The sequence below is a fragment of the Homo sapiens genome, chromosome 11 (assembly GCF_000001405.40).
Source record: "Homo sapiens chromosome 11, GRCh38.p14 Primary Assembly".
Lineage (NCBI taxonomy): Eukaryota > Metazoa > Chordata > Mammalia > Primates > Hominidae > Homo > Homo sapiens.
The window spans coordinates 107,542,854-107,560,200 of NC_000011.10; the positions used below are offsets into that span (position 1 = coordinate 107,542,854).

Genomic DNA, 17,347 nt, shown 5'->3' on the forward strand with positions numbered 1-17,347 from the left:
GAGCCATGAGTGTGCCACTGCACTCCAGCCTGGGCAACAGAGCAAGATCCTGTCTCAAAAAACAGGAATATTTGCCATGTTCTGAATGTTCTAATGACAGTGGGGTCATTAACCAGAGCAGGAAACCCAGAAAGAGCAAAGATTTTGTTCCGTATGGGAGAATGACAGTGGACGGTGAATCGCTGAAAACAAAGACAATGAGCTTTGATTTAGACAAGTTAAAATCCCTTTTAGAATGTTGGATATAGGCCAAGGCGGGTGGATCACAAGGTCAGGAGTTCAAGACCAGCCTGGCCAAGATGGTGAAACCCTGTCTCTACTAAAAATACAAAAATCAGCCACGCGTGGTGGTGGGCACCTGTAATCCCAGCTGCTTGGAAGGCTGAGGCACAGAATTGCTTGAACCCGGAGGCGGAGGTTGCAGTGAGCCAAGATCACACCACTGCACTCCAGCCTGGACAACAGAGAGAGACTTCGTCTCAAAAAAAAAAGAAGAATGTTAGATATTCAGGTCTAATATCTGAGGGGAAAAAAATCAAGGTTGAAGGTATTTCTGTATCCCCTAGAATGCACAGGACAATGCTGGTCACATAAGTAAAAGTTCTTTTAACCAACATCCATTTAACCAACCAACATGCTCCATTCCTTCTATAATGTGTACCCATGCCCTGAATATTTGTTGATGATAGACAACTCTCCAATATGTCCATGCACTTCTATTCTCACCAGTAGAGCTATATGCTTAACAAGTCAAATTGTGTATGTTCCCAAATCACTGTGCCAGTTACCCTTATCATTGTAATTATTTTATTTAATTTAATATTACATAAATGAATGAAAATTAAGCGAGAAAAGATAGCATTTTTCTATAGAAGCCAAGTTGAATATTGTAGAATGACTCAATAAAGGCAAAAAATAAATTTAATGTTCCAATAAATGTGAAAATTTGATTATAAAATATTGGAAACAAAAACATCAAAATGTAAAACCCCACATTCAGATGGTTTCATGTCTTTAAACGTTTGCTTCACTTTAAAGAAATGAAATTGGAGAGACAAAGCAGACTGTGGCCCCTCACAGATGCAAAGACTTTGGCCCCGCAACAAAATATTGATGAGTGAATTTATATGTGTTAAAATGTCTGCAGTATGTACATATCTTTTATTATGACTATTCCCTAATTTAAGTGCAGCCAACTGGTAGTTTCATCTATACCACTTAAGCGGGCTTCTACTGTAGTTTTCTGAACTCTATTGATTTTTCTGAATTTTATTCTAGTTCTACAATCCAGATGGAGTGATATAATGCTGCTTTCTTGCTACAAAGTAAATGCACATAGTTCTAACTGAAAAGATGGAAGAATCAGTACTCCAAAGGCTCCAAATACAGCAGCATGTTCTATTTTATGATGTCATGCCATGAAACAGACTTTGTTAGCAGACTGCTGGCTGAAACAGGTATACTTCTTTGACATTATCCTTATTGAAGGGGCTTGACTAAAGAAGCTCCCACTCCACAGAAAAAAGATAAAGAGTGCCTGTTAAGAACTGTCAGCATTGAGTCTTATTTGACCAATTTATGCAAAAGAGAATGCTGGCTTCCAAGAGATCCTGAAAGATGAGAAAATTACATAAAAATAGAAGAATCTTCAGAACTTAAGTTACTAAGGAAAGTGCTTAAAAGTGAAAAATAGAATTCAATGTATAAAAAATGACATGATCAAACAAGGTAGACCATTTATTTATTTCTGGCCCACAAACCAGCAGATCTACTTGTCTACTCCAGAAGTTTTGAATGTTAGAGACCCACAGGATAAAAGGAAAAATGAAGATTGGCCCAATGCCACTTTAATTATACTATGATGCAACTAAAGAACCCACATGAGAATTACACTCTTTTCCCACATCTACATCAATATACATATAGAGCCATACAGAAGTCACCATGGCTTTAGATACAAACCACACACACACACACACACACACACACACACACACACACACACACAAAGAAGGAGAAATACACACCCACCAGGATGGTAGATCACTATCTTTTTAATGCTAAAGGCACTACAGAGACAGAGTAAAAAAATCATAAATAAGCTATAAAGAATGAGAGAAAGGAGAGAGGAGCTACACAGCAGAGACAATCCATTTTTCAGAACTTCAGGAAATGAAAATATTCCAAGGACTCTCAGATAAGAATAAAGTATGGGGCCTGGAATCAAGATAAAAACTAAAAGAAGAGATTGTTTGGCTTCTGAGGCTGTAAACATTGCTTATATAGGCAAATATTGAGGGCTGAATTTGAGGTTGGAGATGAAGCCAGTATGTCTGCGGTCCAGACTGTATTGTTGTTTTAAGTGGTATAAAGAAAATGTCTGGGTGTTTTTTCCAGTTTGTGCTAAAGATCTGAAAATAATGAAACATTTGTCCATTAAAACAATAAACTCTTAGAACAGAAGTACCCTGTGAGTCATTCTGATTGACCAGACTGGGAATACAAAACAAAAAACAATGACTAAAAAAACCCATTCAGCTAGGTATTTCAAGATACTGCATAAATAATTTTTACTCAGTACCCTATGACTCAACATAGGAGTCAGGCAGGACTCAACAGGTATTTGCTGAAAGCATGAGCCTGGAAAGAGAGCAGGAAATATACTGAAAGACGTGGCCTTCTATAGCAAACATTCAGCAGATGGGGTCTTTACTACCCAACTATCCAATTATCCCCACCCACTGAGTTGCAAAAGTCATCATAATAAGAAATATTTACTGATGAACGGACTTCCATAAAATTAGTACTTGCCCAAATAGCTCTCTCTCTCTTCAATATCAGCAGCTATCTCTGCCCATTATGGTAATCCCTTTGGTCAGTCTTTCAGTGAATGTTGATTATATAAATACTAGCCAGTGCAATGCAAACCCAAAACTAATTGAAATTGCAATTCTCACAAAAGATGGACTTCCCGAAATTGATAAAAGGGATGTCAGAGGACCATTTAAATCACATGCAAATCCATTAAACATCTGAAAATCTGGCAGAGTCAGGACTTTCACAACGAAGAGAAAAATAAAGCAAATAACACAACAACGCACTCTTTATAATCAAGCTATAAAAGTCAAATAAAGGAATTTTTATCATGCTACCATATTTTATCAGAAAAACAAGACCAAAAACAAAGTTCACGTGACTCATTCTTTGTTCTAAAAAATTAGTACATAGTTGTAATATAACCTAAAAATTGTTAAATAAAATTTTTCTTTAAAAATCATCTTCATAAATTTTAGTTTCGTTTTCCCAGATAAGTCCTAATCAAAAGTTTTCTTCCTTATTTATAATAGAAGTTAGGTATTGGTTTTAGGGAGATGCACATTAAATAGTTATTTTCATTATCAGCTGACCAACTCTTACGGTACTTGATGAACTGAGTTATCTGCCCAACAACATTACTAGTTTATTATCATAAAAGGTTATAGCAAGGGCATCTCTCAAAACATGCCTGGCCAGCAAAGGCAGGCTGCAATTTACGGCAGGACAAATTCATCAGTGAAGGATTACCTAAAAACAAAAGCCTAGTAGACTTCACAGGTATATGTTATTGTCATATAACCCGATGCAGCCTACTCCTTGGATATTTCCCTAAGCTCATCCTCAGTTAGGGGAGCACTGAGTATTTGAGATGGAAAGAAATTGGTTGGTTCCTTGATGAAATTACCGACCTGAGCCAACAAGTTAAAACTTTTGGAACCAGCCTTCCTTGAGATATCTTGTTATATGAGATATTAACTTGTTTTGCCTTGTAATCATTTTTATTTGGGTTTTCTGCTGTTAATTGCAGCTAAATCATCCTCACTTATACACATATCATACATATTTCGAAGGTACAAAAGCCTTAAAGAAAATCACAACTTAGTTGTAGAGGGAAAACTAATGTATTTGAAAAAAACAAGACTATTTTTGCTTAATATAAAATGTACACTATTTTTAGACATACTATAAGAGCTTTAAAAAGAATATGCTCCAGTAGTCATACAAATAAAGCATTTTAAGTAATAAAGCATTGAAGAATTATATTAAAGTTAAGAATACCTCATGGGAACACCATGAGTTGGAACATTTAAGAATTGAAAGAGATCTTAGAAATTTCCTGGGAAAGAGAGAAAAGTAAAGTATTAAATATAACGTCAATGACTTTAGCTGAGTCTTTGACATTATATTTAAGCCAAACAAAACGAAAAAGCATTACAAAAAACCAAAACAATAATGCCACTGACAAAATTATTACAATGAAATGGAAGCTGCCATAGGCATTACAGGAAAGTTCTTAAAACGACTGAGGATGTCAAAGATAAGAAAGTAAAGAAATAGGGCCAAAGGTATAGTACTCAGATTCTAGGTGTGGAGTAAGGTGCTAGGAGAAATTCAAGTAATTACACAGCATCAATCAATCAATAAAACAGAACAGCACAAGTTGCAAGAGTGGAAAGTCATCTCTCTCATGACCACTTGAAATCCTACTTCTAGGCTGTGGGAACATGAGCTTCCTCCTGTTACAGAAGTGAAGGCTTTAAGTAAGGAGCCCTAGAACAGATACACCTGAAGGAGCCTTTACACGCATGGATTACTCTGAATTTGAAAAATACTTTCACATACATTACCTCATTTTATTTCTATCACAATCCTTCAGCCAGGAAAGAAATATTATTAATCTCATTTTATAGATGAAATAAAGGCCCAAATTTAGTGGACTGTTTTAAATAGTATTATAAGCTGAAACAAACATTATAAACTTAAAATTATAAGGGTTTTAAGAATATGTTCAAGTAATCATAAAAATAAACTTCATTTTTCAAAATTACAATGATTCACTTACTCTCAAAGGTATTTTAAAAGAAAATCTACTGTTCCTGTCATAACTTATGCACACTTTCCAGCCATTACAAAGATGGCTTTAACCAAACGTCATTCAAATTGGCAGCTGAAAATTATATGCTTCCAGAGACACCAAATAGAGATAATGAATGCAGCAGATTTTCAGTTCAACTAAAGGGCAAATTTTCCCTTCTTCATAATTTCTAATTAAAACCTGTGCAATGATCTTCTAGGGCGCTGGGGGGGATATTGAGTCCTCATTTCTCATATCTCCCTGGGAAGGAAGGGAACTTCCCTAGGAATAAAAAGTAGAAAGCACACTCCTAGTTTTTTTCCACCCCTTCACTTACAACTCTCCTGAAAACAAGGAATGCCTTTGCTTATTGGTTACTCTGAAGCCAGGCTCACTTGGCTCAGCCCTTTCCTCTCATTTTCAGAGCCAGCTGGTTTGTAGGAGCTAACACATGTCCTGTTAGAGGAGCTCCTTCGTGTCCTGTTATACGAACAGCCTCTGCCTCCATGGGGAAGGTCTCCAGTTGTCCAGCTACGCCAGTGACAAGGTCAGTATGTCTCTTTAATTCAGAGGTGAAGTATTAACAAGTTCACTTGGCTACAGATCTAAAGTCATGTTCTGCCATCAGTTTTCTCAGTAGTAAAGTTAACACTCTGATCTCGAATTATCTTTTGTCTCATTTCTCAGTTGGTTACACAGTTGGGAGGAAAATGAGAAGATGTCCTTTACTGGTCCCTAAAGCTAGAAGCAAGGATGGGGGGTAAAAATAAAAAAGAAACCAGAGAGAGAAGAGTGTTTTTTCCTCCCCGATCTCATTATTTTTTAAAGCACCTGTATTAAGAATCTACATACATAGTTAATAAGATGGTTGTGTCATATCAAACACCACTAATTGTCAAGTGACAGTATCAACATGACTACACAAGCTCGGGAAGGGTTAAGAGGCCAAAACACTGAAGATCTAATGATGGAAACTATACAAATACGGGAAAACAAAAATGAATAGTTTTTGCCTCCAGGAACAAGATCAGAATTTGATACAGACTCTAATTAGATTAGATGACCTGATGTTTTAAGGACTCTTCCAGATTTAAAATTCTGATTTTCTTTCTTTTTTTTTTTTTGAGTCAGAGTCTCACTCTGTCACCCGGGCTGGAGTGCAGTGGCGCAATCTCGGCTCACTGCAACCTCTGCCTCCCAGGTTCAAGTGATTCTCCTGCCTCAGCCTCCCGAGTAGCTGGGACTACAGGCACATGCCACCATGCCCGGCTAATTTTTTTGTATTTTTAGTAGAGACGGGGTTTCACCGTGTTAGCCAGGATGGTCTTAATCTCCTGACCTCGTGATCTGCCCGCCTCAGCCTCCCAAAGTGCTGGGATTACAGGCATAAGCCACCGCACCCAGCCTAAAATTCTGATTTCTATCCAAAAATCTGCTTGTAGGTTGCGTGGATCACTTCACATGTAATATTTTCTTTTAGTGGCTCAAGCAAAGTGCAGCTACAGAAACAAATCAATGAATAAACATGAACCTCTTATTCTTCATCTGTAAAAATGAAGATATTACCCTCTACTTCTCAGAGTTTTTGAAGGGATTGAATCAGGTAACATACGGAAAAAGTTCATCAAAATTCAGAACACACATTTTAATTTGTTTCCTTTTTCTATGGCATGAAGCTACTATCTTTTGCCACTAGATGGCAATGCTGCACCAGTAGGTCAGAAATGGGCCACATTGTACCAAGGAAAGTCTAGATCTTATTTAACTGCTAAAAGTTTCGTGTAAAAAATTAAATTTCAAGTTGTTTTCCTGGCATCTGATGAGGTGACAGATAAAATTTTGGATATTTAAAAGAAGAGGACATTTAAAAGAAACCAAAGTGCTAATGGTGCCCTTATTTTTCATTTTTAAATCTTAATTCATTTTCATTAAGAATGTGGATAATCTTTGAAAAGGGCATTGTACAAGGTAAGATATATGATGATAGCTAATAAAAATGACCATTTACCTCTGACCCCAAACTGAGAGAAACGATCTCATCCTCAAAAGCGGAATGTGTATCAATATGAGCGGGAATTCCTGAGATGGAAAACAGGACAACACGTCACTTCATTTTTTCCTTTAGTAGATTTAAGATGGCTATAAATGTAGCCTTATGCTATTAAGGTGAAAACATTGCTTGGTAATCAGGAAGGTACTATAATTTTGGTTAAAAGGAAACATTTAGGGTGAATGTGACTAAAACATACTAAAATAAACTAAAAATATCTTAACTTCAAGTTAAAGTGCCATTGGGGTTTGATCTAAAATCAAGGCTCAGGAGTCACTGATTAACTAGGACACTTAACTCAATTCCAGCCCAAGAGGAAAATGTGAAAGACAAATACAAAAGTCATTTTTACCTTCAAACACTGGATTCCCAAGTACTTGCAGAACAAAAGCAATAACCAGGTATAAAGACTAGGCGTATCAATAATTACGATATGGACTTCTCCACTGATCTATCAATTTACATTAACTCAGCACCTCTTAAGTAAAAGAAATGTTGCTACACGGTGAGGGTATACAAAGCCAGTAGGAGGGTCCCTGTCCTCAAAGAGCTTACAAGCCAATGGAAAGACAGCTAGGTAAGAAAGGCAAAGAAGAAATGCCCTGGCTGACTAGTTAATCTGGGGTCAAGCTTACTTGGCTCAGCCCTTCCCTCTCATTTTCAGAGCCAGCTGGTTTGCAGGAGCTAACACATGCTCCTTCACATTTCATCCTACAGGCCTCTGCGTCTTTAAGAGTGGCCCCGGCCTCTGTGCTCTACAGGAACGGCCTCTGCTTCAGCTTCAGTTGTCTCGCTGTGCTAGAGACAAGGTCAGCATGTCTCTCTAATTCAGAGGTGTAGTATTCACAAATCCACAGCTACAAATCTAAAGCCATCAGTTTTCATTATAATAAATGTAGAAAAGAAAACAAAACTCCATAACTCCTGCCGTTAATAAAACCCTTAAATTAAAGACGTCATAAGTGTGGGGCCCTAATCTTACACGTGGAAGCTCGCTCTCTCTCCATGCACATGCACACACAGAGAAAAGGACATGTGAGGACATTGAGAGAAGGTGGCTGATGACAAGCCAGGAAGGGAGGCCTCACCAGGAACCCAATCAACCAGCACCTTGATCTTGAACTTCCCAGCCTCTACACTGTGAAAAAATACATTTCTGTTGTTTAAGCCAAAAAAAGTAAAAAATAAAACCCTTAAAATCATTTGATTGCTATAAACGTCAGATGAAGATGCTGCTAACAAGTATAAGAAATCAGTATCATAAAGATTTTTCACCAGAATGTCATCCTGCAATTGTCTCCCATATTATCAAATAGAAAGAAGAGAAAGATCATCCAACCAATCAGCCTTCTTCTATCTATAAATTATTTGGTTTCTTCCATTACACGTCTCCTATGTTTTTCAGACCAATGTCTTCCCTCTCTAAAGGAAACGTTGAAAGGGAAACAAACAAAAAAAATCACAAACAGTGATTTGTATCAGTGTGTTTACACTTTGAAATGCAAGTTCCTCAAGGGATTAAAGTGTAGATTTGCAAAGACTGAAGTCAACACAAGTAACAAACATAAGCAAGGCAATCTGACAGTTAATTTGAGCTTAAAAATAATGTATTTGCTTGGCTGGGCGCGGTGGCTCATGCCTGTAATCCCAGCACTTTGGGAGGCTGAGGCGGGCAGATCACCTGAGGTCAGGAGTTTGAGACTAGCCTGGCCAACATGGTGAAACCCCATCTCTACAAAAATACAAAAATTAGTTGGGCCATGATGGTGTGCGCCTGTAATCCCAGCTACTTGGGAAGCTGAGGCAGGAGAATCACTTGAACCCAGGAGGCAGAGGTTGCAGTGAACCGAGACCACGCCGTTGCACTCCAGCATGGGCAACAAGAGCGAAACTCCATCTCAAAAAAAAAAAAATAATAATAATAATAATAATAATATATCTGCCCTTAGAGAATTATATCATCTACTCAGTTCCAAAATATGTGACTAAAATTTTTGAACAAGAAATACTCACCTTGCCCAGGTTCATACTGATTTATGGTCATTTGATCAGGTTTATGTTTAATGTAACCTTTCCTCAACCATTTCTCCAAAAAGCTTTCACAAATGTCAGGAAGACCTACAATGAGTAATCATAAAGACAAAACATTAAAATATTTACTTTGCTTGTTTTACTCAACAATTTTAAAAGTCACTGTGATATAAATCTCTGAGCTTTTAATTTAGCAGTCAGGTCCATTAATAAACCCACAAGCAAAACAAAATTAAAAAATAAAAAAATTTAGGAATCTTTTAAAGTCATTTCATTGATTTTTTTTCAGATAAAAAGTTTAAAAGAACAATTCTAACAACAGTTTTGGTATTTTATAAAATAGCAATAAAATTATAAAAATATACTATATATTGAAATTGTCCACTTTCTTTTTTTGTTATTTTAAATTATACCATTTATTTTAAATTTAATTATTTTAAATTATTTCCCTTAAAAAAAACACATCTTCCAAAGTGGAACTAACTTACTTTTATTGGAGTCATAAATGTTGTTTCATGATGGAAGAAAAGCCTTAAGTGAGACCAAAGTCATTAAAAAAATAGATAAATTTAACTCCAACAAAGAATTATACCAATTATATCAATGGATTAAAAGCCAGAATATACAGTAAATTCTTAATCAATTAGACACTTCATTGGGAAAAAACTGGCAAAGAATATAAAAAGGAATTCACAGGAAAGGAAATACAAATGACCAACCTTACCAGTAATCAAGAAATTATAAATTTAAAAGCTTTACAACACCACAGGTTGGGGAATGGGGAAGTAGGTACACATTTGGTGAGAATATGCTGGTACAACTGTTTTAGGAAGCAATTTGTCAGTATCAATTAACGTTTTTTAGTGAACATAAACTTCAACATGACAATTCTACTTCTTAGTAGTCTCCCTTGAGAAACTCTTGCACAGGGCACAGAGGCATGTTCAAAGATATTCACAGCAGCATTACTTATGAAAGCTAAAAACCAGAAACAACCTAAATGTCTATCGATAGAGAACTATTTGAATAAGCTATTATGGATCATTCAGTAAAATGAGAAGCAGCATGGGAATAAGGATAATAATGATGAACTTCAGCTCTATCCAGTTTGAAATTTTTTTACAACAAAACTATACAATTTATCTAATTAAAGTGTTTTAAATAAACTGTTCAGAAAGTTTATCTACAAATGACAAAAGAAACATAATCCCCCAACTATCATATTCTACTAATATATTAATATTTTTGAGCCAGAATTTATTATGTATTAGCAATTACTTACCCCCAGATAATGGCTTATCTTTATCTACATTGTTGTTCTCATAGTGGAACTCATAACCAAAATGCTTTACTCTTCTGTGTTTTAAGGATTTTTGAGCTGTGTGAAGAGAACAAAGTAAACAATTAAGAAGGAAAAGAATTACATTCCTTTGCATATTTCAGTCAACTTTTTGAGTAAGGATTAGTTTAGTAATGGCAACTTCTGTTAATTGGTAAATTATGGTCTTTAACAAAATTAACCATTTTGCCTTATATTTGTTGTTATTTCAAGTCTAAAATTGTAACAAACTCTTCAAGAGTTTTACCCAATCAATCTGAAAACTAACATGTACACTACCATTTACAACATTGCCAATGAGCTAGAAAGAGTCAGAAAAACTCCAATTTGCAAATATCTCCAGGAAGCTCTCACTATATTATAATATTGTGGTACTGAACTGCTAATTCCTCAAGGAAAACTTGCCTTAGGGTGGGGAGGAATGAATAAAATAAGTGAAAAGGCTTATAAAAGCTATATAAATGTTGGATAATACTAATCAGTTTGGAGTTAAAATTTGATAGCTATATAAATGTTATTTATTATTAATGTTCCTAAGAATTGTTGGTATGACTTGCCTAACATTGGATCCGGGCTAGTTTCAGTAATTTTGAGGAAATATTAATAAACCATGAAAGACAGAGGAAAGGAAGAAGAGTTTTGCAGAAACTTTCAAATATCAGATTTTGAAAGTTTTACTTACAGTTTTGATTGTCTGTATCTTCTGTCCAATCAACACTTTCCAAAAGCATTTTCTCCTCCTCAGAAGAAATTATTTCTTCTACTACCATGAGTCCTGGTGGTAAGGCTTGAGGCCTCAACTCCTTCCACTGCACTATGGGAAACCAAATTAAAATAGTCACATGCAAAACTTAAAGTTCCTATATACAAATAATTCTGCCCAATAACTCTTTATCAGTTCACAAAACTTCAAATCCTCATTTTCGGAAACAAGATTGCTGAAAGGCACCCAACATATTAAAAGTGCAGAAACAAAGACCAAGATCAAAATGATGGTACACTTTATCCACTGCAATTACCAACAGCAAACAGAACAGTATTTATTTAAGTAGCCGGTGTGAACATGATGAAGTCACTTTTAAAATCTCACAAGGTTTCTCATAATATCCACAGTATGCATCTCCATTAAAAAGTCAGATAGTCTAAATAATGAATACAAGAATTTAAATACTCATTTTTGCTCTTAGGCTCTTGATACTATCTATAGTAAATAGAAATAGAAAATATAATAGAGAAATGTAAAATAAAATACAACTTTCTAAAGAAATACAAAATATCATTTATGAAGAATTATTTAGCAGATGTTAAAATAATTTAAGTTCCTGTGTCCTTCAAAGTTTCAGATAGGTATAGCTCTAGAAGGAAAAGAAAAAAGAATCTGCTATTAAACAAAGGGAATAGTGTATTCACATTTATTGTTAGAGATCTGATCATTCATGTTATACACATGATCTCTGAAGCTTTTCTGCTGGACAGTTTTCTGCCAGGCAGATTAAATCTTTGAATTATTTAATTCACAAAAATAGCAACTATTTACTAGATTCTATTAATAACATTTCAGAAACATGAATAGTAAATCATTTGCTAAATACATACCACTGCCTACTATGTGCCAGACATTATATTATGTATTCAAATTATGTAAGGAAAACTTTGCAAAGAATTCCTTAAAGAAAAGTAATTTACAGTGTAAGTAATTTGGATTTAGTTTCCGAAATATGTTGTTTTAAAAAGAATTAAAAATATCTCTTCTATTTGTTATTCAGTGCTGCCTGGTAGCAGATATCTAAACAAGCATTAAACTATTTGTGATGGCTGGGTGCGGTGGCTCACACTTATAATCCCAGCACTTTGGGAGTCCGAGGTGGGCGGATCACGAGGTCAGGAGATCAAGACCATCCTGGCTAACACTGTAAAACCCCGTCTCTACTAAAAATACAAAAAAATTAGCCGGCCGCAGTGGCGGGCACCTGTAGTCTCAGCTTCTCGGGAGGCTGAGGAAGGAGAATGGTGTGAACCCGGGAGGTGGAGCTTGCAGTGAGCTGAGATCGTGCCACTGCACTCCAGCCTAGGTGAAAGAGCAGGACTCTGTCTCAAAAAAAAATAAAAAAAACTATTTGTGACACACTTCTGTTCTCAATTAAAAATGACTTTCAAGGTTATAAATGTGATTGCCAGAGCCTTAAAAGTACATATGGATCTAATGAAGAATTTCAAATAAAGAGCACTCCAAAACTTACTTTGTGCAATTTCTTACTGAATATTCACCATGGAGGACGGGGGTAAACCCAATGACTATTTTCTGATTAAAACTTACTCCTCAGCCACTCAGTTTTCAAAAACTGACCAGAAACATGTAAAACATGAGGATAATCTAGTTTCCAAAATATGTAAAGCTTAAGTCAGATTTAAAATTAAATGCATATGAGCACTGAGAAATATAGTTTCTAAAATATACCTTTAAAAGAGTCTGTAAAAGTTTTCCTTCGAGTCTTATTTTACAAAAACATAAATTTGAGCAGATTATAGTCACCTACCCACTCCTAGGATATCTAAAACAGGGCTCTTTTACTGCCTAAATAGGTGGCAAATGAATATATGATTAGATGTTTAAATCTAAGTTCATCTCAATACATCTCATTTTCATGGGGCAGAAGTAATAATTCCTGTACAATTCTGTAAATCAATATATAAAGCTATACTTATTTAATTAAATTATTCAGTTCCTCAATCAGACTATCCAGTGGCTATTGAACTGGGCAGCACAGACAGGAACATTTCTACCATCACAGGAAGTTCTACTGGACAGCACCACCATAAAGTTTTAGGAATCAGCCGGGCACGGTGGCTCACGCCTGTAATCCCAGCACTTTGGGAGGCCAAGGCAGGCGGATTACGAGGTCAGGAGTTCGAGGCCAGACTGGCCAACACGGTGAAACCCCATCTCTACTAAAAATACAAAAATTAGCCAGGCATGGTGGCACATGCCTGTAATCCCAGCTACTTAGGAGGCTGAGGCAGGAGAATTGCTTGAACCCGGGAGGTGGAGGTTGCAGTGAGCCGAGATTGTGCCATTGCACTCCAGCCTGGGCAACAAGAGCAAAACTCTGTCTCAAAAAGCAAAAAAATAAATAAATAAATAAAAATAAAGTTTTAGGAATCTTTGGTAGCTACAGGTGTTCTGCTATAAATATGAAGATTGGTACATGATCATTTGGATCACGATTCATTCTTAAGTGATTAATTCAAAGCTCCTGGGTAGATATGTGAAATAAACTAGTAATGCAAACCCTCATTATTAAATTTTGAAAAACACAATTAGGCAGGAGGGTTCCAAAATAAGCCATGTGCCTAATAAATATATTGTTGACTGGTGGGACTAGCTTTGTAAAGGCAGGTTGTATCTTATTCACCTCTGTACTGTCAACTACTTGTCCCATGCCTGGCACAAATAGGTGCTTAAAGAATGTTTGTTAAAGTAAAAGGAGCTGCTAACCTGCTTCCTCATTTTGTTTCACAATAACTGAACCTCCCAACTTAAGTCTATGAAAAGAAAACACCCAGAAGAATCATTTTTTAAAAGATAATTGTATGATAATACCTTTTTCCACAAAATTCAAATACAGAGTGATCTTTTGTCCTAAATCATCCACTACTTCTTTTCCATTGAGGGTAACATAGGCTCTCTTAGATTCTTCTGTAGTTCTGTATCTTGCAAATGAGTACGGCTTGTTAGGTGGCATTAAGAGAGCATCCACCAGTCCACATTTCTCTAAAACCGGGAGCAGCTGGTTCCGACTCACACCATTACCCAAACCACCATTGGCAACAACCAGGCTCTTAAAAAACAAACAAACAAACAAAAAGAAAGTAACATGAGCAACTGATACCAACCCATTTGTTTTAAAATAAGATTTTTTTTAAAAAAGATGTAATTAAGAAAAAAAAAGCATTTCCTTGTAGTGGTTGTTTGGTTTGCTAATTTCATACAAAGTATGTAAACCAATTTACTAAAAATTTGGGGAATAAAAAGGACTCCTATATTGTAAATTGTGTTGTTTAAATAGCCAATTTCACAAAATATTCATTTCTAAATGACCATAAATGCAAATTAAAACATGACTATTATTCAGAAATATAAATTTAACATAATGAAAGAGGTGGAGAGGAGAAAGGACAGTTACATAACACTTGCTTTTTGGCAAGACTGTTCTATAAGCTTTTATCTACTCAATCCTCATTAACATAATCTTCACAACATATTGAATTTATTTGGGTAATATCAGCCCAATTTCATAGAAGAAGATCTGACAAATTAGGTTAAGGTGGTGATTAGGGGTGGGTTTAAACCTATTTCTGTCCGTTTCCAGGATCCGCACTTTTAATATAACCATTATACAATGTTTACTAAAAATTAAAAGTAAAGGTACTATTACCTCAAAGAAAAACCAATTATAGCTTCTATTGAACATAATTAGGAAAAAATTTTCCTCTAAGGAAATTCAGACTAAGTAATTCAGTCAGTTCACAATGAAAACTTTTTCCTTTGTAAGTTTCACGATTACTTCCTGCTGTTTGCATAGTCCTGCACTAAACTTTATTCAAGGAAATTTTGCAGGGATGAAAGAGGAGTCTCTTATTTTTATTCTGATGTTCATGGTCTAGCACCCATATAGTCTCTATACTTAACCATTCTATACAATGTAAAGATTTTTAATTTATGTTCTATGACTTCTAAAAACATTTCAATATAACAAAAGAAAGCCATGGATGGCCTACTCTCATCAATTTCTTCATTTATACCAGGTGTTGATGACGTTTTTCTGAGAAGAGGTAGATAGTAAATATTTTAGGCTTGGCAGGCCATAAAAGTTTCTGTCAGATAGTCTTAGTATTATTTTTTAACACTTTAAGAATGTAAAACTCATTATTTTGGTCACAACCCTGATTTAGTCTAAGGACAGTAGTTTGCCAACCCTTAATTTATACTAAGCTCAGTGATAGTACATTGTGTATTGGTTTATTACACAAAATAAGAATACCTAGAACTTTGTTTGAAAAGGATATAAAAGAATTATTATGAAATTGGACAATAAGGAAAGTAAAACTGTTTTGTCATGGGACAGCCAGTACTTTGTATGCATGCAAGCATATACATACATAATAAACAAGCCCACTAATACAATACTATATGATATGGAGTAAAATGGAGTCTCAGATGGCTTGCCCTGGACCTCACTTAATGAGGTTTATTAATTAAAATACCAAAATAACTTGGTTATATGTGGCCATAGTTGCAAAAACATTCCCATATTCCTAAATCTATGGAAGAGCAAAGGTTTCATTGGTGTTGAGGGTCCACTACCCCATCTAGGAATGGAAGATGATGAAGTATGACTTCAGGAATACTAGAAGTCCTCTAAGATGCCGTCTGAGTGTTTTGTGGGCAACTCTAAAGGTAAACCACACAAAAACAAGTGCGGTAGAAGAGGAGAGGAACTTATTTTCCATTAAATGTGAGATACATATAATTAAATGTCATAACTAAATGTAATATAATTAATGCAATAATTAAATGGAACTATTATTTTATTTATAATTGTTCAAGCAATTTTCTAAATAAGGAGGAGTATGTATGAAGTAGAGAATGTGAATTTTTTTTAAGTTATCTTTGGTCCTGACAATTTGAGGATCATTGCTCTAGAAAAATCTGTAATGCCATAAATTTGTACAAAGGAGCCTAAAATTATAATACATCCGATATGGTTTGGCGTGTCCCCACCCAAATCTCATCTTGAATTTTAGCTCCCATAATTCCCACATTTTGTGGGAGGGACCCACTGGGAAATAATTGAATCATGGGGGCCATTTCCCCTATAATGTTCTCGTGGTAGTGAATAAGTCTCATGAGATCTGATGGTTTTATAAGGGGTTTCCCCTTTCGCTTGGCTCTCATTCTTTCTTGCCTGCCGCCATGTAAGCCAGGACTTTCGCCTTCTGCCACGATTGTGAGGCCTCCCCGGCCACGTGGAACTGTGGGTTCATTAAACCTCTTTCTCTTTAAAAAATTACCCAGTCTCGGGTATGTCTTTATCAGCAGCATGACAACAGACTAATACAATATCATTAAAACAATATTTGCTCTCCCCTGGAAAGATAAAATATAATTAGAGGTCCATCTACAATTTTATTCTTTTCCTTTAAGAATATGGAGAAAAAAGAAAGCCTAAATAAAATGCTACTTTGGAAGCCATGAAGGACATCAAAGCTTCTAGAGATCCTAAAGAAAAGGCAGACCCAACCAGAAACAAGCTTCAGAGGGGTCAAAGAAATGGAGCCTATTTTTTTTTTCTTGCTACTTCTCTTCATAAACCCTGTAAGGAAAGGAACACAAGTCACTCTTGGAAAGTGATGAGAGCAGTGTATGTCAGTTTAATCTTCTGAATGTCTCACAGCCTCAGTGGCTCTTGACTGAAACAGTAAAGTGTATGCAAACATATTAATTCTAATCTATTATCTATTTCATCCTTGCTATAGGAATGTGGCTTAAATTCTCTGAAGACATTAATATTTAACTCCAAGTATGGGCCTTTTACCTCCTAAATTCAAATGTGCCTCAACAGACTGCTCATTCTCAAGCTATGATGTTGTACAGAAGACAGCATAGTAAGCATTAAGGCAAGAGTATTGGTCTGAGAGTTGAGAGGCCTAAGTTTTAATCCCTGCTCCACCTTCTCAATTGTATGTCCACCCCTCAATTAAATGATATCTAAAGCTTACTTTCTACTTTTATTCTATAACTTTATGAGCCAAAAAGATAAGAACTCCTTATATTCATGGAGTAATTTAATGTCCAGTAAGTACAATTAGATTCTCTGGAATCTAACAATCTAATGGGGTTAAAAAGGTATGCAATACTATGCCCTGCTTAAAAATGAAGAAAGCTGAGGTCAGAGGATACTACTACTCGTGTCCAGAAAAGCTAAGAGTTAAACTGAGTTCTCCTAATTCATAACCCAGGAAATCTCACGATCCT

At 35.7% G+C, this 17,347-nt stretch overlaps 1 protein-coding gene across 12 annotated transcripts in view; it reads right to left on the minus strand.

The window, feature by feature from the left end:
* The window catches only part of ALKBH8 (alkB homolog 8, tRNA methyltransferase), a 63,009-nt gene that overhangs the window by 40,127 nt on the left and 5,535 nt on the right, over positions 1 to 17,347 (minus strand). For 5 of the 12 annotated variants that reach the window (NM_001378133.1, NM_138775.3, NM_001301010.3 and 2 more), the window contains exons 3-7: positions 13,913 to 14,150; positions 10,994 to 11,125; positions 10,255 to 10,350; positions 8,955 to 9,059; positions 6,900 to 6,970 (exon numbers count right to left, since the gene is read on the minus strand). In NM_001378133.1, the coding sequence (NP_001365062.1) occupies positions 6,900 to 6,970; positions 8,955 to 9,059; positions 10,255 to 10,350; positions 10,994 to 11,125; positions 13,913 to 14,150 (642 nt within the window). Of the gene's footprint in view, positions 1 to 6,899; positions 6,971 to 8,954; positions 9,060 to 10,254; positions 10,351 to 10,993; positions 11,126 to 13,912; positions 14,151 to 17,347 lie in introns of those variants that run through there. The other 7 variants (NR_165422.1, NR_165424.1, NR_165425.1 and 4 more) reach the window with 3 other exon arrangements.